At 39.7% G+C, this 20,831-nt stretch overlaps 1 protein-coding gene across 15 annotated transcripts in view, besides 2 other annotated features; it reads right to left on the reverse strand.

The window, feature by feature from the left end:
• Positions 1–20,831, reverse strand: part of ANO10 (anoctamin 10) — a 325,747-nt gene that overhangs the window by 80,512 nt on the left and 224,404 nt on the right. The window lies entirely within an intron of this gene.
• Positions 8,724–9,923: an enhancer, noted in NCBI's record as "P300/CBP strongly-dependent group 1 enhancer chr3:43496575-43497774 (GRCh37/hg19 assembly coordinates)". NCBI's record gives its function as "activates an origin of replication core promoter dependent on BRD2, BRD4, P300/CBP, MED14 and CDK7 cofactors, with strong dependence on P300/CBP, by STARR-seq in HCT116 cells {active_cell/tissue: HCT116}" and the evidence as "EXISTENCE:reporter gene assay evidence [ECO:0000049][PMID:35650434]".
• Positions 8,798–9,092: an enhancer, noted in NCBI's record as "tiled region #3370; HepG2 Activating DNase matched - State 9:DNaseU, and K562 Activating DNase unmatched - State 8:EnhW". NCBI's record gives its function as "activates a minimal TATA promoter and a strong SV40 promoter by Sharpr-MPRA in HepG2 cells, with weak activation in K562 cells {active_cell/tissue: HepG2 | K562}" and the evidence as "EXISTENCE:reporter gene assay evidence [ECO:0000049][PMID:27701403]".

Genomic DNA, 20,831 nt, shown 5'->3' on the forward strand with positions numbered 1-20,831 from the left:
AAGAAAGGGGATGAAAGAAGTAAAGCCAACTGGCAAGTCTTTGCTCTGAGAGAGAGCAACTTCATACAATTGAACAGAGAGTTTGTAACAAAAAAGAGTTACAACTTTTTATAACTGCATATTTTTTTCAAAGATAACATTTTCTGTTCTCCGCTGATATATTTTCTTGAAGAAAATACTGGTTTATGGTTTATTACTTGTTATGTTCTTAAGATATGCTTGAGGCACACTACTGTCAGAAAAGTAAGGAGAAATTTGAACTACTTCTTTGAGAAAGTCAGGTTTTCACTAGGGAGACCCTCTCAGTTACAAAGTGACAATAACAATCAATTTTAACAACTCAGAACTTGCCATACCGAAAACACTCGAGGGAAGATGAATATTCATAGGTAGATAAAAATAATTTTTAAGGTTTAACAACAGCAAAAGCGATTTATCCTAGCTATTCTGAATTTATTATTAAAAAATGTATATACCTATATCTTTTTGAACTATAGTTTGAAGGTAATACAGTCACATGGTTAGGAAAAAAGGTATAAAGTGATACCCCTACCCCTGCCCTCATCTTCCCAATGCCCCACTGTGCCTCCTGCCCACATGTACAATCAGAATATATTAATATTTTCTCCATGTTTATATAAAAGGAGCATACAGAAATACTGTTCAGCATTTTCCTTTTTTGTATTTCCTAATATTAGAGATCTTTCCATATTAGTACCTAGACAGCACCCATACTTTATCGACCAGTGATGGACATTTACACTATTTCCAATATTTTTGTTATTAGTAAGGGTGCTGCAATAAATTTCCTCCAACATTTGTCATTTTGTGCACAGGCAAGTATATTTGTGGAATACATTCCCAAAGACAGAACTGCTCGGTCAAAGGATATACACAGTTGTAATATAAGTAGATTCTGTCAAATTGTTCCGTACATGGTATTAAGCACGCATGTACAATCAACAGCTGAATATGAGACTCCCTGGTCCTCCACAGCCTTGTCGACCCAAGGTGATATCCCTCTGGTGGATTTCTGCCAATCTGATAAGGTGACAATAGGTGTTTCAGTTTAGTTTCCACTTGCCTATCTTACTCTGAATGATGTTGAGCACCTATTCACACACTTAACCGCCATTTGCATTTTGCTTTTTTTGTAAACTTTCTGTTCATAATGAAAAGCATTTGAGAAGGTTGAGGGATTGGAGAAAAGGGAAGAAAGAAGAAGAAAGACACTGATTCCAGTTCTGTACAAGTACAAATAACTCATTTTTTGGCTTAAATTGGATCTATATATTAGAACATGTTAAATTCTAATGAAGTTCTACTATTTTTTATTGAGATTTTATTTTTAAAGCAGTTTTAGTTTTGTAGAAAAACTACACAGAAAGTAGAGAGTTGCTGTATACCTGTCATTCTCCCAGTTTCCCCTATTATTAAGGTCTAACATTTGTATTGTTCATCTGCTACAATTGATGTACCAATACTGATACTTTATTATCAACCAAGGCCCATAGTTTACATTAGGGTTCACTATACAGGTTTTCACAAATGCATTGTTATGGCTTGAATTTCTGTGTCCCCACAAATTCACATTTTGAAGTGCTAACCTCCAACACGATGGTTTTAGGAAGTAGGGTGCTAGGGAGGTAATTAGGTTTAGACAAGGTCATAAGGATGGAGCGACAATGATGGGATAGTGCCCAGATAAGAAATGGAAGACAGACCTAGAGCTTCCTCTGTCTACCACATGAGGATTCAAGAAGGCCTAAGAATCAAATCTGCCAGCATCTTAATCTTGGACTTCTCAACTTCCGGAAGCATGAAAAATAAATGCCATTTAGGCCACTTGGTCTGGTATTCTGTTATAGCAGCCTGAGCTGAGACATACATCATGTCATGTATCCACCATTACAGTATCATACATGATAGTTTTACTGCCCTAAAAACCCCTGTGGTTCACTTATTCATTCCACACTTCCTCCCTTGCATCTCTTCCCTCCCCCTCAACTCCCAGCTGCCACTGATCTTTTTACTGTCTCTATAGTTTTGTCTTTTCTAAAGTGTTATATATTTGGAATCATACAGTATATAGCCTTTTCAGACTGACTTCTTCCACTTAGGAACAGGCATTTAAGGTCCCTCCATGTCTTTTCATGGCTTGATAGCTCATTTCTTCTTAACAGTGATTATTATTCCCTCATATAGATGTACAACATAATTTTATCCAATCATCTACCGAAGGACATCTTGGTTGCTCCGAAGTTTGGACAATCATGAATAAAGCTGCTATAAACATCCATCTGCAGGTTTGTGTATGGACATAAGTTTTCAACCCATTTGGGTAAATACCAAGGAGCATGGCTGCTAAATCATATGGTAAAAGTATGCTTAGTTTTCTAAGAAACTGCCAAACTGTCCTCCAAAGTGGCTGTACCATTTTGCATTTGCACAGCAATGACTGAGCTATTGGATTGTTTGTTTATGGATTGTTTTCTTTCTTTCTTTCTTTCTTTCTTTTTTTTTTTTTTTGGAGACAGAGTCTTGTTCTGTCACCCAGGCTGGAGCGCAGTGGTGCGATCTCGGCTCATTGCAACTTCTGCCTCCCGGGTTCAAGTGATTCTCCTGCCTCAGCCTCCTTAGTAGCTGAGATTACAGGTACCCGCCACCATGCCATGACTGCCTAAGTTTTGTATTTTTAATAGAGACTGGGTTTCACCGTGTTAGCCAGGATGGTCTCTATCTCCTGACCTCAAGTGATCCACCCACCTTGGCCTCCCAAAATGTTGGGATTACAGGCGTGAGCCACCATGCCTGGCTGGGTTGTTTTCTCATTGTTGAGTTTCAAGAGTTTTTTTTGTATATTTTGGATACAAATCCTTTATCATTTACGTATTTTGCAAATATTTTCTCCCAGTTTTTGGCTTTTTTCATTCTCTTTTGCAGAGAATAACTTTTTAATTTTGAAGAAGTTTAACTTATAAATTATTTCTTTCAAGCTTTTGGAACTGAATTTAAAAAGTAATTAATTACTAAACCCTAGAACACCCAGATTTTCTCTTATCTTCCAGAAGTTTTATAGTTTTGTGTTTTACATTTAGGTTTCTGATCCATTTGGGATTAATTTTTGTTAAAGGTATAAGGTCCCTATCTAGATTCTTTTTTTTTTTTTTTTTTTTGTATGTGATGTCCAGTTGTTACAGCACCCTTTGTTGAAAGGACTATCCTTTCTCCATTGAATTGCCTTTGCCAATAGTAGATCTATTTTGGGGCTGTTTTGTTCCATTTATTTATTTGTCTATTCTTTCACCAATACCACAATGTCTTCATTACTGTAGCTTTACAGCAAGTTTCGAAGTTGGTTAGTGCCAGTCCTCTTTGTTTTTCTTCAGCATTGTGTTGGCTATTTTGGGTCTTTTGCCACTCCACATAAACAATAGAATCAGTCTGTCAATATACATAAAATAACTTGCTTGGATTTTGATGGAGATTGTGTTCAATGTACACATCAAGTTGAGAAAAACTGACATCTTAATAGAGAATCCTCCCATCCATAAACATGGGATATCTCTCCATTTATTTATATTTTCTTTGATTTCTGTCAGTAGAGTTTAGCAGTTTTTCTCATCTATATTTGTACATTTCTTTTTAGATTTACACCTAAGTACTGCATTTTTTTGGAGCTAATGTAAATGGTATTATGTTTTTAATTTCAAATTCCAAATGTTCACTGCAGGTATATGGGTAAGCAGTTGACTTTTATTCTACTAGTTTCTGCCATTGTTTTTAGAATAAAGTGGAAAAATATTTGAATTTTTTTTCTGGAATAAAGTAGAAAAAATATGAATATAATTTACAGCATGAAAAATCTGAGCCCTGACGGCTGTGAAAAATTATATATCAGCCAGGCACAGTGGCTCATGCCTGTAATCTCAGCACTTTGGGAGGGCGAGGTGGGCAGAAGACCTGAGGTCAGGAGTTTGAGACCAGCCTGGGCAACATAGTGAGACCCTATCTCTACTAAAAATACAAAAATTAGCCAGGCATGGTGGCGGACACCTGTAATCCCAGCTACTCGGGACGCTGAGGCAAGAGAATTGCTTGAACCCAGGAGGCGGAGGTTGCAGCGAGCTGAGATGGTGCCATTGCACTCCAGCCTGGACAACAAGAGTGAAATTCCATCTCAAAAAAAGAAAAATTACATATCTAGCTTTTCACCTATGCCAGAATTATATGTCTCAGATAATTCCCTGGTTATGATAAGGAAATCATATGTCAATAACTGTCATTTGCCACACACTTTTATAAATCAAGTGACAAACCTGAAATAAGATTCCTGAATATGATATTCAAGTCCACGTGAACTAAAGCCATAAGAAAGGTACCCTGCACTCTGGAAAATATTGATGAGAACATTTATGTCATCTTTTTGTAATGTAACAGATTACAGTTCAAAAAGTACTTCCTTCAAACTTTGGCAGAGTCCTGAAAAACTGCATTTTGGTCATAAGTTCCTTAAGCTTCTAATCCATTCACAGATGAATTTCTATAAATGGATTAGGTATCTGCCAAGTCCAGGCATTTTTTTCTGTTGCTTAGGCTTTATAATACAGCACTGATACCTTACATAGTCATAAAGTTAATGCCAATCTGATTAGAAGAAACTCCCTATTTTCAAAGTATATCACAGCACATATCTGAAGTTTATAATGTCGAGATTACTTTGAATCATGGTCCCTAAGCACATCCTTGCAGGAACAGTTGCTTAAGGAGTTGGACCTTGAGAGAGGCAACACTCAGAGTATAAGGGAACTTCAGAGAATGCTGGGACATGCTGCCGAGATGTCCCATCAGAACTGAAGGAATTATTCTCCCAGCTGCTGCAAGGGCTACTAGAAGACACACCTGAGCTGAAGAGAGCCACCTTGACCACACTCGCCTCTGTCTCCTGAGGCTGCTGTACCCACCGACTAGTCTATCGGGATGGAAAATAATAACCTGGCCATTCCAGCTTCAGAGCTCCCTATGAAATCAGCTGAGGCGTTGTTGCCCAACTTCTCCCTCTGTTCAATCGGCTTCCTTTCCCATCCCTTTCAAGTGTTGATTCTCAAGAGCTTTCTCTAACGAAAGTCCTGCACACTAGTCTCCATCTCAGAGTTTGGTTGCTGGGAAACCTGACCTGTGACAGTAATCAATTTTAAAATGAGGATTTTAAATCACCTTTTTTATGGCTTTGTCTAGGTGGTGGTGGTTAGGGATGAAGGGTGGGGATTAGGGGGTGGGTAGGAGGATTTGCAAAAGAAATACAAGACAATTTTTTTGCACACAAGGTGCAATTTAGCTGAGGAGTCCAAATACGCTTAGATAAGACTATAAAGTAATGTAAATGAAGTTTAAAGAACACCCAAGAACTTACACATTCAAATAACTGTGGTTCACTTAGCATTGAGTTTGAGAGGCTCTATGCTTACTCTAGGGAAATGGAATTGCAAAGTCACAAAAGATTTTTGGAACTCTTAGATATCTATCTAGTCACAGTGAGTAAGTGAAAATGGCTTTCTGTTGTTGGTTTTCTACTCCCAACTGTATGAGGCAGTTTGGCTACCGATAAACTCCCAAGATTTGGTATTAAATTATTTTTGGCTATTCTAAAGTCAAATCTACCCTCAAAGGCTAAAGATTAGTTACTAATAAAATAGGCCATAGAACAATTCTAACTTATTTATTTATTTAATCTTCTTGGATACCAATGTAGATCAATTCTAAAAGAATTAGAACACTCTCTAGGCTTGTAAATGTATTCTTGTTTTTAAAAAAACCAACAACACTTTATTGATTCACATACCATAGAATTCTCCCAATGAAAGTATATAATTCAATACCTTCTAGTATACTCAGAGTTTGTGCAACTATCACCACAATACATTTTAGGACATTTTCCTTGCACCCTCCAAAAAGCCTATGCCCCTTAATGGTCATTTTCCAATCCCTTATCTCCCGTAGGCAACCACCAGTCTACTTTCTGTATTAAAGTAGTTATTCTGGAAATTCCACATAAATGGAATCATACAGTATGTGGTCCTTTGTGATGGGCTTCCTTCACTTAGCACAGTGTTTTCAAGTTTCATCCATGTTGTGGCATGTATTACTAGTTCATTTCTTTTTATTGCCTAATAATATTCTATTGTATAAATAAACCACATTTCATTTATCCATTCATCAGTTGGTGGACATTTGGGTTGTTTCCATTTGAGGCTATCACGAATAATGCTGCTATGAATATTAATGTGCAAGTTTTTGTGCAGACATGTGTTTTAATTTCACTTGGGTATATACCTAGGAGTGGAACTGCTGGATCGCATAGTAACTCTATGGTTAACATTTAGTGGAACTGCTAAACCATTTTCCACAGTGGCTGTACCATTTCACATTCCCACCAGCAGTGTACAAGGGTTTCAGTTGCTCTACATCCTCACCAAATCTTGTTGTTATTATTTGCCTTTTTGTTTATATCTATGCTAATGAGTATAAAGTATTATCTTATAGTGGATTTGATCTGTAGTTCCCTGATGGCTAATGATGTAAATATCTTTCCATGTGCTTGCTGGCCACTTAAAAAATCTTCTTTGTAGAAATGTCTATTCGGATCCTTTGCCCATTTTTTAATTGGGTTAATTGTGAGTTTTAATAGTTCTTTAATTATTCTAGATACAAGTTCCTTCTCAGATATGTGATTTGCAAATATCTGCAACCTTTCTGTGGTGTCCTTCGAAGCACAAAAGGTTTCAGTTTTGATGAAGCCCAGTTTATCTTCTTTTCCCCCTTTTTTTTTTTTTTTTTGAGACGGAGTCTCGCTCTGTCTCCCAGGCTGGAGTGCAGTGGCGTGATCTTGGCTCACTTGCAAGCTCCACCACCCAGGTTCACGTCATTGTTCTGCCTCAGCCTCCCAAGTAGCTGGGACTACAGGCACCCGCCACTGTGCCCGGCTAATTTTCCGTATTTTTAGTACAGACGGGGTTTCACTGTGTTAGCCAGGATGGTCTCGATCTCCTGACCTCATGATATGCCCACCTCGGCCTCCCAAAGTGCTGGGATTACAGGCATGAGCCACCGCACCTGGCCTATCTTCTTTTTCTTTTATTGCTTGTGCTTTTGGTGTCATATCTAAGAACCACTGTTTAATTCAAAATCACAAAGATTTACATCCTTGTTTCTTCTTAAGAGTTTTCTAGTCTTGGCTTATACTTAGGTCTTTGATCTATTTTGAGTTATTTTTTGCATATAGTGTGGGGTAGGGATCCAATTTCATTTGTTTGCATATGGCTATCCAGTTGTCCCAGCACCATGTGCTGAAAAGATTATTCTTTCCTCATTCAATTATCTTGACACCCTTGTTGAACACTATATGTGAGAGTTTATTTCTGGCCTCTCAATTCTATTACATTGGTCTATAAGTCTGTCCTTATGCCGGTATTACATATTGTATCCTTCTTAAGGTGTCTGCTTATATGCATTCATTCATCAAATGCTCAGTAGGCAACTACCACATACCAGACACTCTCTAGGTGCTGTAGATTGGAACTAAAGCACAGCTGGAGCTTACCTTTTTAGAGAAGACATATAATTAAACTATTCATAAGTAACATACATAGTTTATGAAACAAAGAAGAGGAAGTTTTGGTAGTAGGACTAAAATGTAGACAGGATAGCCAGGGGAAGGTGACTCTCAATAAAGACCTGAAGGAAGGAAGCTGGGCAGGCTTTCTTCTGGGGGAAAAGCATGTTGGGTCAGGGGAAAGGCAAATGTAAAGGCCCTGAGGCAGTAGCCTGGCTGTTCAAGGAACACAGAGGAAGGCCTGTGTGTCTGGAATGGATTGCAAGAACGTTGAGAGGAGTTGATGATAAGGGCAGAGAGATAATCATGGGCCTGATTCTATAGGGTTTCAAAAGTCATAGTGAGGACATTGACTTTTATTTTAAATCAGATGGGAACCTGCTGGAGGTTTCTGGATGGAGAAGTGATGTGTAAGGTTATTAACAAAACCACTGTGGCTGCTGTGTTGAGACCAGACAAAAGCAGAAGGGTGGCCCAAGAACAGAGCCCAAGACTGTCTGGCCATCAGAGAGAGTGGGCAAGAAGCACACACAACAAAACACACACAAAAAAAGGGAGAGAGGAAGAGAGAAATGGAGGGGAGGAGACATGGAGGGAGGGAAGGAGGAAGAGATACTAAAGAAGAGTGGTCAGAAAGGCAGGAGGAAAAGCAAGTGATGTAGGGACCTGAAAATCAAATGAAAACAGTGTTTCCAGGAGAGAGGAGTCAGGTAAGGTGAGGCCTGAGAAAGGACCATGGCATTAGCAAGGTGCTGATCACCAGAGACCTTCAGAAGTGGTGTCTTGGTGGACTAATGGTTCAAAATAATATGAAAGAAGAAGAACTGGAGACAGTAAGCATGAACAATTTACACAAGTTTTGTTTAAAGACAAATGAGGCAGTAATTAGAGGGAAATGTAAGGCCAGGGTAGAAGAAATAACAGCATGTTTATGCACCGATGAGGATGATCCTATAGAAAGGGAAAAAGACAATGCAAGTGAGAGTGAGGGAGTCTCCTGGAGCCTGTGCTGGAGACATGTGAGAGAATAGAATCCAGCCCCTGAGTGTGGAGGTGTCCCTCATGGGGCGCAGATGTGGGCCATCTGCAGTGACAGGAGAAAAAGTCAAATACATGGGCACAAATGCATGCAAGTGGTGTAGCTGGCGGGAGTTTTCATGTAGTGCGCCCATTTTCTCAGTGAGGTAGGAAGCAAGGTCATGAGCCAAGAGCAAGGGAGGGAAGGAGGCACTGGAGGACTGAGGGAGGAGAAGGCATGAAACAGTCATGTGGAAGGGCAGGAGAGAGAATGACCATGGAAATACACATGCATGCCAAGCAGCATTGAGGGCTATTTGAGGTCAGTGATTAGGAATCTAAAGTGAGGCAGGCCATGAGTCAGAGGTATGACTGTGGAGGTGGGAGGCTGAGATCAGAAGGAAGACAGGTCAGTGGAGGAGAGGTCAAGGATGTCAGCAGCCATGGATGTGGAAGGAGTGACAGGTACGTGTATTAGAGAGGTTCTGCAGAGAGAGGGGGTGAGTCAGGCCCTTAAGTCCTTGAGGAATGGGGGGAAATGACCTGGGGTAAGCCAGGCTAGGTACTGTAAATCAACTAGTTAGCAGGATAGGAGGGCAGTCTTCCATCTCACAGATCCTTTCTGGGGCCAGCTAATTTAATTGTTCTGACTGGTTGATTATTTCTCCTTTCACCACCCTAAGAACCCCTCTCAAAACTTCACTGGGCTGGGCTGCATGTGTGATCTTTTCCTCAGGGTTTCTGAATAAACTACACTTAAAATTTTTCCAAACACCATCAGTCAAACAAACATTGGTTACAAACCTTTTTTTTTTCCAACAGATTCTGACACAAAGATGAATATATAAAGATATATAAAAATAAATTATAATATCCTGTGGTACATGACGCAGTATTTACTTGTTAGAGTAACATATTCCAGCACTGCTATTCTACAGCAAGTTCAATAAACAACAGGAGCAAAGACTTGCGTTAACTCTAATTTACGATGGGATAAAGAAAAGCAAAAAGAGTAACATTAAAAAACATTTAAGCACCTACTAGGTGATGAAATAATTTCTTTAAATAGAAATTGACATGCTACATTTGCCTACTCCTCAAATAACTTGGGCTGGCTCCCACCCTGGGAACCTGGGCTCAGCAGGTGAGCAGGTACGGCGGTCACCAACACCTGCACAGTCATTAGGAGGAAAGGAAAAGGACGCTACAAAAATAGAATCTTCAGACACTGCAGTGTATAATTAATGATACTCTCAGCTGCATTTTTGAGTGTCACCTTTTATACAAAATGTATATATTTTAAAGCTCCAGAAGTCCTATATTATACTGATGGCACTGAGTTTTGCCTTAAAGGTGCTAAAAATCTGCTAAACCTGGGCATTTTCTTCACCTGTGCTCTGAGGTAAGCTCTTGCACACATCCACAAAGAAGCAAACACAACGCTGTGCATCCTTATGTAGCTCTGGCTTTAGAAGCAAAGAGTTGTCCATCGGTAGGAAAATGGATAAGAAAACTTTGGTGTATTCAGAAGATGGATATCTACGTAGCAGTCAGAAGCAATGAACCAAATTCATACATAGCCACATAGACAGATATCATAAACACTGAGTGAAAAAGAATTAGAGATTCAGAGCCCAAAGCCATGCTCATTAATTACAACACACACAAACACCATAATTTAAATAAGTGAAAGGTGGAAGGGAAGGACATATATCAAATATACCATTGGTGCCTACAAAAGGGAGGGTCACAGATGCAGGAATTAATACAATTACAAAGGTGTCTGCGACATGAAGCAAAGAGTAGGATCATTTTAATTTTGTGTAATTGAGGCGGTAGTGGTCATGGGAAAAGTGGATAGCAGTGTTCTTATGAGTGAAACACAGTAAGTACGGATTTTTCATACTTACAACTTTCTTGTATTTGTTACTTGTAAATCTTGCTCCAGAGCCATCTATAATGTGCCATGACAATGCACCCAACAGTACATTACCATTCTATAAACTTAACATGTTTTGGCACAATCATTTCAATTTATGAATGGTATATAACAGAAACCAGAATAAAAATTGCCAAAAACTAAATTAGCTAATACTAAATCTAATGAAGAATAAAGCTTTGATTATGCTTTGAAATAAAGTCAGGGAGGAAACTAGATAAAAAAGACTCCTTTGGTATTGAACTTGACACTGTGGTTAATAACTTGGCACACAAAATGCCTCTTAGCAGATTGCTAAATACACATATCAAAGTTAACCCTGACAGTTAATAACCTGCTGCAGAAACATGCTTGTATTAGTCCATTTTCACACTGCTATGAAGAACTTCCCTGAGACTGGGTAATTTACAAAGGAAAGAGGTTTAACTGACTCACAGTTCTGCATGGCTGGGGAGGCCTCAGGAAACTTACAATCGTGGCAGAAGGTGAAGAGGAAGCAAGCACCTTTTTCAGAAGGCAGCAGGAGAGAGAAGGGAGCAAGAGAGGAACTATTGAAACACTTATAAAAACCACCAGATCTCATGAGAACTCACTCACTATCATGAGAACAGTATGGGGGAAACCACCCCCATGATTCAATCACCTCCCTCCCTCAACATGTGGGGATCACGGGTCCCTCCCTCAATATGTGGGAATTACAATTCAAGATGAGATTTGGGTGGGAACACAGAGCCAAACCTGCTTTACTTTAGAATACATGTATGTTTCCTATAGACTCCTAATTCATTACAAGCTTTTTGCTTGCCATCTCTAAACTACAAATTACTTTCTAAAATAAAATGAACTGCAAGGAGGAGATCAGTACCAGGTGGAAATCAAATTAACTAATGTGTTCTGAGGAGCTGCCACTTGAAATGCTCAGTGCAACATGGAGAGTTCTGCAGTGGTGTACCTGGGGCTTGAGGAGCTTGTAGTCTGATCAACCAAGATGCAAGGCCCCCAACCCATCCCCCACCCCCTACCCTGTTCCTATTCCTATAGGAGTTTGTGTGGGATCTTGGAATAATCACTTAAGTTTCTTTGTCTCCCTTTCATTGAGTGACACTGAGCTCCAGGCAACAAAGACAGTAGACAACCACATATTGGAAAAGGAGTCAGAACTCTCATTTTGTTCCTAGCTTGTTAACCTATAAAAGGGGAGATGACAATATATCCCCACTGTGCTATATATAATCTTTGTCATTTGTAAAAATTATTAAAACCCTGAAGGCTTGTTATAAATGCTGACCCCGGAGTCCTAGTCAAGAGACCCCCTGCAATGGAGACCACTGTGCAATAAGATCCTTATAGCACCCCACAGATGAATCTCCTTAAAGACAGACACACTTTATAAAAATCTGTTCTAAGAAGAAGTTTCACAAAGAATCCAGGATACCTGTTTTTTCCTTCTTGGAAGGATGTTTCTAGCAATAAGACCACCTTGCCCTGCAAAGTTTTTAAATTTAAGCTGAAATAATTTGATTTGCTCCATCAAATTCCTCCACATCCTCCTTTTACTTACCATAACAATAAAATATTCTGAAAATATTTCTACATAGGAAATATTTCTACAGGAATTCTCTTATGCATTACAAATTCCTATTAACATCAAATGAAGACACCATAGACAAGAAATGCAGAGAGCTTTCAATCTCCCATTAGGCTTAAACCGACTTCTTTTTTCTCTTTTTTACTTTAAGTTCTGGGATACATGTGCTGAACGTGCAGGTTTGTTATATAGGTATACATGTGCCATGGTGGTTTGCTGCACCTATCAACTCGTGATCTAGGTTTTAAGCTCTGCATACATTAGGGATTTGTCCTAACGCTCTCCCTCCCCTTTCCCCCTACCCCTGGACAGGCCCGGGTGTGTGATATTCCCCTCCCTGTGTCCATGTGTTCTCATTGTTCAGCTCCCACTTATGAGTGAGAATATGTGGTGTTTGGTTTTCTGTTCCTGTGTTAGTTTGCTGAGGATGATGATTAAACCTATTTCTTATACGCCACGAGCTTCCAAATCAATGTCTCTACAACAGTAAAACAAAGTCTCTGAGCCCCTTGAGTTATGTGTAACCAGGTGGAACATAAATATATGAGAAGAGAAAGGCAGCACTGTTTAATGCCATTAGGTGGGCTCTAAGAGCAATAGCTAGCTGCATGTGTCACTATCATAGGGTGGCACTTCTCAATTTTTTTTTCCTGACTCACTTTCTGTCCAACCACCACCACCCCACCTCCTGCCACTAAGTTGTTTTTATCTTTTGTTCTCTTCTTTCGGTAGCCACAACTTGCTCCAGGATTCGGTGTTGTTGAAGGAAAAGGACCAGTCAGTGCTCAGATTCCATTTCTACCTGATGCACTTCCCTAGTAAATGGAGGATAACCAAATTGAGCATCATCCAATTCAGTAAGTAACAAACAAGGTGGTATTATCAGAGAGAGGGCCACAGATAGTCTTCTGTGAAGAGGCTAAGGGTGAGGGAGGGCTTGCTGGCAATGAAACAAGGTTTCAGAGGTCTCACAGAAATATCTGCCAGTAGAAGAATGACTTGTGGAGAGGAAGGTCCAAGTGCGGAGTGAGGAGAACATGGCCAAGAGGTGACATGGCTAAGAGGCATGATGGAGCTGCCAGTTTCTCAGTGGGACCCTCCTGAGGAAGGTGCTTCCCACTGGCCCAGAGCTAGTGAGTGCTTCCTGCCAGTGCCTGTCTGGAGCTTCTGCTCAGGCCTCCAACCATTCAAGGGGGAAAGTGCTTTTTGGGCCTCAGATGGTAGGAGTTAGTGAGGGCTCGCCCATGGAAGGAGGGACTGAGCTCCAGGCTGGTGGGTTAGTTTTAACACTTCCACCATCATGGTGGAACTACATAGTTGGTACTACTGTTATCTCTATTTTAAAAAACAGGCACAGAGAAGTTAAACAAGTTACTCAGGGTCACAAACCAGTAAATGGCAGCATGGGATTAGGAATCAGGAAAATTATAAACTACTATATAAAGAAGTTAAAAAGAATGCTATGCATTGGTTTAGATGGGAGGTTGAAGATTTCCATTTATCTCTCATATCCATTTGGAGAGATCATCAAAAGAACAGCAAAGAAACAAAAAGGCATCCATAATAATGAGGGAAATGGGAAGAAGGCCATCAGCACATAGGAAAAGTCTGTAAATTTCTGGAAATCAGAAAATAAATCAAAGAGTATAGCATGATAAAACTGAGTGTAGAAAATTACAGCCTAGAACCCAGATGGAGGCAGGCTTTGGCTATGGAAAAAGCCAACCAGTACAGCAAAGCCTTGGAAAGGCTTTGTACCTGGACAATGCCCTCATAATGGTAGGAAGAGTGATATGGAAGTTCATCTCTCCCTATAATCCTATGTGCAAATGGCTGCAGCTAAGTAACTCTCAGATGCATACATACATGTGCCACACATGCACACACAAAATAGATCTTTACTAAACAAATTAAGTGAACTTTCTTGGGGTGGAAGGTAGGAGGACTAAGGGAGCTCAAAACACCTTCCACATTCTGGCATTGGGGGATGGGCAGTGTATTCTGCACCCTCCCCCTCTCCCCTTTGTCTTCTATCATAAAGCAAAGTCTTTGCCTCTTGGAAAACCTCACCCATATCATGAAGGCCTGAGCCAGCCATGCTACTGGCTAATTCTCAATATGAACAGATAGCCAAGACTCACCAAACACTTGAGAAAAGTCTTCATGAAGAAAATCAGACAGACACACAGCTATGCACATATACCCCATGGCAAAAAAGAAGAAAATGAATCCAGATGAAACAGATAATTCTGAGAACAGGAGAGAGGGTTTTTTTTAAAAAAAGGACAGCAGCCTCAGGGAGAACTAAGAAAATCCTGTATTCATACAACAAGAGCAGACACTCACAGAAAAGGAACAATTGAAAGCCAGAAAGAGTTCTTGGAAATTACCATATGATTGTCAAAATGAAAACTTCAATAGAAAAGCTGAGGAATCTAATCTAAGAATCTTTCATATAATAGAACTAAGAAGGGGCTAGAAAAAAAAAACAGGAAAAAATGAAGAAAATATTAAAAGTGTAAAAATCAGTAAAATAGAAATCAATCGATAGAAGAAAATCAATAAGAACAAACGTTTTTTAAAAAGATCAGTAAACTAAACCTCTAGCTAAACTAATTAAGAATAAAAGAAGAAAGACATAAATTACCAATATCAGGAATAAAAAAGGAGATATCATTAAATGTTCTATAGAAATTAAAACCATAACAAGAAAATAATGTGAACAACTTTATACCTGTAAGTTAAAAAACTTAGATGACATAAACAAATAAGGAACAAAATTACCAAAACTGACATAGGAAGAAACAGAACATCTGAATAGCTCCCTCTATCTATTAAAGATATTGAATTCATAACAGAAAATCTTCTCAGGCCCAGACAGTTTTATTGGGAAAGTATATAAAACATTTAAGGAATAAATATTATCAATTGATATGGTTTGGCTGTGTCCCCACCCGAATCTCATCTTGAATTCCCATGTGTTCTGGGAGGGACCCAGTGGGAGGTAACTGAATCACTGGAGCAAGTCATCCCTGTGGTGTTCTCATGTTAGTGAATAAGTCTCACAAGATATGATGGTTTAAAAAAGAGGAGTTCCCTGCACAAGCTCTCTCCCTTTGCCTGCTGCCATTCATGTAAGACGTGACTTGCTCTTCCTTGCCTTCTGCCATGATCATGAGGCTTCCTCAGCCATGTGGAACTGTAAGTCCAATTAAGCCTCCTTCTTTTATAAATTGCTCAATCTCGGGTATGTCTTTATCAACAGCATGAAAATGGACTAATACAGTAAACTGGTACCAGCAGAATGGGGCGCTGCTGAAAAGATACCCAAAAATGTGGAAGCAATTTTGGAACTGGGTAACAGGCAGAGGTTCGAACAGTTAGGAGGGCTTAGAAGATGATAGGAAAATGTGGGAAAGTTTGGAACTTCCTAGAGACTTGTTGAATGGCTTTGACAAAAATGCTGATAGTGATATGAACAATAAGGTCTAGGCTGAGGTGGACTCAGATGGAGATGAGAAACTTGTTGGGAAGTGGAGCAAAGGTGACTCTTGTTAGGCTTTAGCAAAGAGACTGGTGGCATTTTGCCCCTGCCCTAGAAATTCATTTAACTTTGAGCTTGAGAGAGTTGATTTAGGGTATTTGGTGGAAGAAATTTCTAAGCAGCAAAGCATTCAACAGGTGACTTGGGTGCTGTTGAAAGCATTCAGTATTTTGTTTGTTTGCTTTTCGAGAGAGAGGTTTGCTCTTGTCACCCAGGCTGGAGTGCAACGGTACGATCTTGGCTCACTGCAACCTCCGCCTCCCAGGTTCAAGTGATTCTCCTGCCCCAGCCTCCCAAGTTGCTGGGATTACAGGCACCCACCACCACACCTGGCTAATTTTTTGTATTTTTAGTAGAGATGGGGTTTTGCCATGTTGGTCAGGCTGGTCTCGAACTCCTGACCTCAGGTAATCCACCCACCTCGGCCTCCCAAAGTGGTGGGATTACAGGTGTTAAACCACCATACCAGGCCTAGCACTCATTTTTATAAGGGAAGCAGAGCATAAAAGTTTGGAAAATTTGCAGCCTGACAATGTGATAGAAAAGAAAATCCCATTTTCTGAGGAGAAATTCAAGCCAGCTACAGAAATTTGCATAAGTAATGAGGAGCTGAATGTTAATCCCCAAGACAATGGTGAAAATGTCTCCAGAGCATGTCAGATGGGAGGCAGCCCCTCCCATCACAGGCCAGGAGGCCTAGGAGGAAAAAGCGGTTTTGTGGGCCAGGCCCAGGGTACCCATGCTGAGTGCAGCCTAGGGACTTGGTGCCCTGTGTCCCAGCCACTCCAGCCGTGGCTGAAAGGGGCCAATGTAGAGCTCAGGCCATGGCTTCAGAGGGTGCAAGCCCCAAGCCTTGGCACCTTCCACGTGGTGTTGAGGCTGTGAGCACACAGAAGTCAAAAACTGAGGTTTGGGAGCCTCTGCCTAGATTTCAGAAGATCTATGGAAATGCCTCGATGTCCAGGCAGAAGTTTGCTGCAGGGGCGGGGCTCTCATGGAGAACCTTTGCTAGGGCACTGAGGAAGGGAAATGAGGGGTCAGAGCCCCCACACAGAGTCTCTACTGGAGCACTGTCTAATGGAGCTGTGAAAAGAGGGCCACTGTCCCCCAGACCTGAGAATGGCAGATCCACTGACAGCTTTCACTGTGCACCTGGAAAAGCTGCAGACACTTAACACCAGCCCCTGAAAGCAGCCAGGAGGGAGGCTGTACCCTGCAAAGCCACAGGAGCAGAGCTGCTCTTGCATCATCGTTACCTGGATGTGAGACATGGAGTCAAAGGAGATTTTGCTATGAAGAGAAAATAGCTTGTGGATTGAAAGCATTTATAATTAAAGCTTAAAACATGACCTAGATGCTTACATTATACAACCCCAGGTGCCACAAAAGTGTACTTATGCTCAATGCTAAGTACCTACCTCTTGCATTACCTGTATGTGAGACATGGAGTCAAAGGAGATCATTTTGGAGCTTTAAGATTTTACTGCCCTGCTGGATTTTGGACTTGCATGGGGCCTGTAGCCCCTTTGTTTTGGCAAATTTCTCCCATTTGGAATGGCTGTATTTACCCAATGCCTGTACCCCCACTGTATCTAGGAAGTAACTGACCTGCTTTTGATTTTAGAGACTCAGGTGGAAGGGACTTGCCTTGTCTTGGATGAGTGGACTGTGGACTTCTGAGTTAATGCTGAAATGAGCTAAGACTTTAGGGGACTGTTGGGAAAGCATGATTGGTTTTGAAATGAGAGGATGTGAGATTTGGGAGCAGTCAGGGACAGAATGATATGGTTTGGCTGTGTCCTTACCCAAATCTCATCTTGAATTCCCATGTGTTGTGGGAGGGACCCGGTGGGAGGTAACTGAATCATGGGGGCAAGTCTTTCCCATGCTGTTCTCGTGATAGTGAGTAAGTCTCATGAGGAGTTCCACGGCACAAGCTCTCTCTCTTTGCCTACTACCATCTATGTAAGACATGACTTGCTCTTCCTCGCCTTCCGCCATGATCATGAGGCTTCCTCAGCCATATTGAACTGTAAGTCCAATTAAACATCTTTCTTTTGTAAATTGCCCAATGTATGTTTTTATCAGCAACCTGAAAAAGGAATAATACATCAATCCTACACAGCCTCTCTCTGAAAAAAAAAGGAGGGGACATTCATGAGGACAGTATTATTCTGATACCAAAACCTGACAAAAACATTTCAAGAAAAGAACACCACAGACCAATATCTCTCATTGGTATAGACGTAAAATTCTTTAGCAAAATATTAGAACATCAAATCCAGCAATCTCTAATAAAATATGGCCAAGTGGGATATATTTCAGAAATGCAAAGTTGGGCTAGGCTTGGTGGCTCACATCTGTAATCCTAGCACTTCAGGAGGCCAAGGTGGGAGGATCACTTGAACTCAGGAGTTTGAGACCAACCTGGTCAACATAGCAAGACCCTGCAGCTACAAAAAATTAAAAAATTAGCCAGGCATGTTGGCACATGCCTATAGTCCCAGCAACTTGGGAGGCTGAGGTAGACAATCACTTGAGTCCAAGAGGTTGAGGTTGCAGTGAGCCATAACTGCCCCACTGCACTTCAGCCTAGGTGACAGACAGAGACCCCATATAAAAAAAAATGCAAGATTGGTTTTACATTAGAAAGTTATTTAATATAATTCAACACATTAACAGAATAAAGAAGAACAATGATCCATCATATCAATATATACAGAAAATTTTTGACAAACTTCAGTAGTCATTCAGGATAAAAAGTCTCAGTAAAATGGAAATAGAGGCAAATTTCCTCAATCTTAAAAAGATACTGAGAAAGAGAGTCACTAACATCATACTTAATGGTAAAAACTTAATTGCTTTTTCCTTAAAATCAGGAACAAAACAAGAATGATAACTTTTACTAGTTCTATTGAACATTCTGCTGGAGATCCTAACCAGTGCAATCAGGCAAGAAAAGTAAACAAAGAACCTATAGATTATAAATGAAGAAGATAATTTGTTTTTATTTGCAGATGATGTGGTCATGTACAGAGTAAATCCTAAGTTTTACCCCATATAAATAAAACTATTACTAATAAGCAAATTTTTCAAAGTTTCAGGATAAAAGGTCAACATAAAAAGCAATTTTCTTCCTGTCAGCTGTCTTGCATCACTTAACAATGGATATATATTCTGGGAAATGTGTCATTAGATGATTTTGTCATAGTGTAAACATCATAGACAGTATTTACACAAACCTAGACAGTCTACCACACCTAGGCCATGTGGTATAGCCCATTGCTCCTAGGCTACAAAAATGTACAGCATGTTACTATACTAAATACTGTCCCCAGCTGTAACACAATGGTAAATATTTGTGTATCTAAATATATATAAACATATAAAAGGTACAGTAAAAATGTGGTATTGTGAAACCCTGTCTCTACTAAAAATACAAAAATTAGCCAGGTATGGTGGCAGGCACCTGTAATCTCAGCTGCTTGGAGGCTGAGGCAAGAGAATCAATTTAACCTGGTAGGCAGAGGTTACAGTGAGCTGAGATCACACCACTGCACTCCAGCCTGGACAACAGGGTGAGACTTCATCTCAAAAATAAATAAATAAATAATCTTATGAGACCACTGTCATATATATGGTTCATTACTGATTGTAATGTTGTTATGCAGCACATGACTGTACCAGCAATTAAAATTGGAAATGGATATTTAGGGATGAATACAATATGTACAAATTCTGTCAAATAAATCTATAAAATATTGTTGTGAAAAATTAAAGAGGACCTAAATAAATGGAAAGATATACAAAGTTCATGAATTAGAACATTCAATATTGTTAAAATGTCAGTTTATCTTCTCCAAATCAATCTAATGAAATGCAGTCTCAAAAAGTTTTGTAGGAATCAGCAAATTGATTTTAAAATTCCTCTGGGAATGCAGAGAATCCAGAACGGCAAAACAACTTGAAAAAAGAACAAAGTTACAGGACTAACACTATCTGACATGAAGAGTTAAAACAACAGTAATTGGGCTGGGCATGGTAGCTCATGCCTGAAATCCCAGCACCCTTGGGAGGCTGAGGAGGGTGGATCATGAGGTCAGGAGATCAAGACCATCCCGGCCAACATGGTGAAACCCTGTCTCTACTAAAATACAAAAAATTAGCCAGGCGTGGTGGTGCGTGCCGGTAGTTCCAGCTACTCGGGAGGCTGAGGCAGGGGAATCGCTTGAACCCGGGAGGCAGAGGTGGCAGTGAGCCGAGATCACTGCACTGCACTCCAGCCTGGTGACAGAGCAAGACTCCATCTCAAAAAAAAAAAAAAAAAACAAACAAAAAAACCAGTAATCAACACATAAGAATATAGATATATAAATGGAATATAATAGAGTCCTGAAATTGAGACACACATATATGGCAAGATGAATGTAGACAAGGTGCGAAAGTAATCAATGAGAAAAAAGGGTCTTTTAAACAAACGACTAGAGTAACAACTGGATATTCATATAGGAAAACAATGAACCTTAACCTCTCTCTCATACTATAAACAAAAATTAACTTGAAATGGATCATAGGTATAAATGTAAAAGTTAAAACTGTAAAACTCATTGAAGAAAATCTTCAGGACCTTAGGGTAACCAAAGATTTTTCTGACAAGACATAAAAAAGCAATAATCACAAACACACAACGAGAAACTGTACTTTACCAAAAATTAAAAATTTGTCTTCAACACATTATGTTAAGTAAATGAAAAAGCACATCATACACTGGGGAAAATATCTGCAATATATGTATTATATTTGACAATTAACTTGTGTATTGAATATGTAAAGAATACATGAAACTCAATAATGAAAAGATGGTGCAACAAAAATGAGCATAAAACTTTAACAGAATGTTCACAAATAGTATGCTAATAAACACATGAAGAGATGTTCAACATCATTAGTTGCCAGGGAAATGCAAACTAAAATCACAATGAAATATCAATGCATCTATCAGAATGGCTAAAAAAACTAAAAACTGACAATGGCAAATATTTGCAAGGATTTAGAACAACTGGAACTCTCAATCATTGCTGGTTGAAGTTTATGTAAAATGTTAAAACCACTCTATAAAACAGTTAGAAAA

This window comes from Homo sapiens, chromosome 3 (genome assembly GCF_000001405.40).
Source record: "Homo sapiens chromosome 3, GRCh38.p14 Primary Assembly".
NCBI lineage: Eukaryota > Metazoa > Chordata > Mammalia > Primates > Hominidae > Homo > Homo sapiens.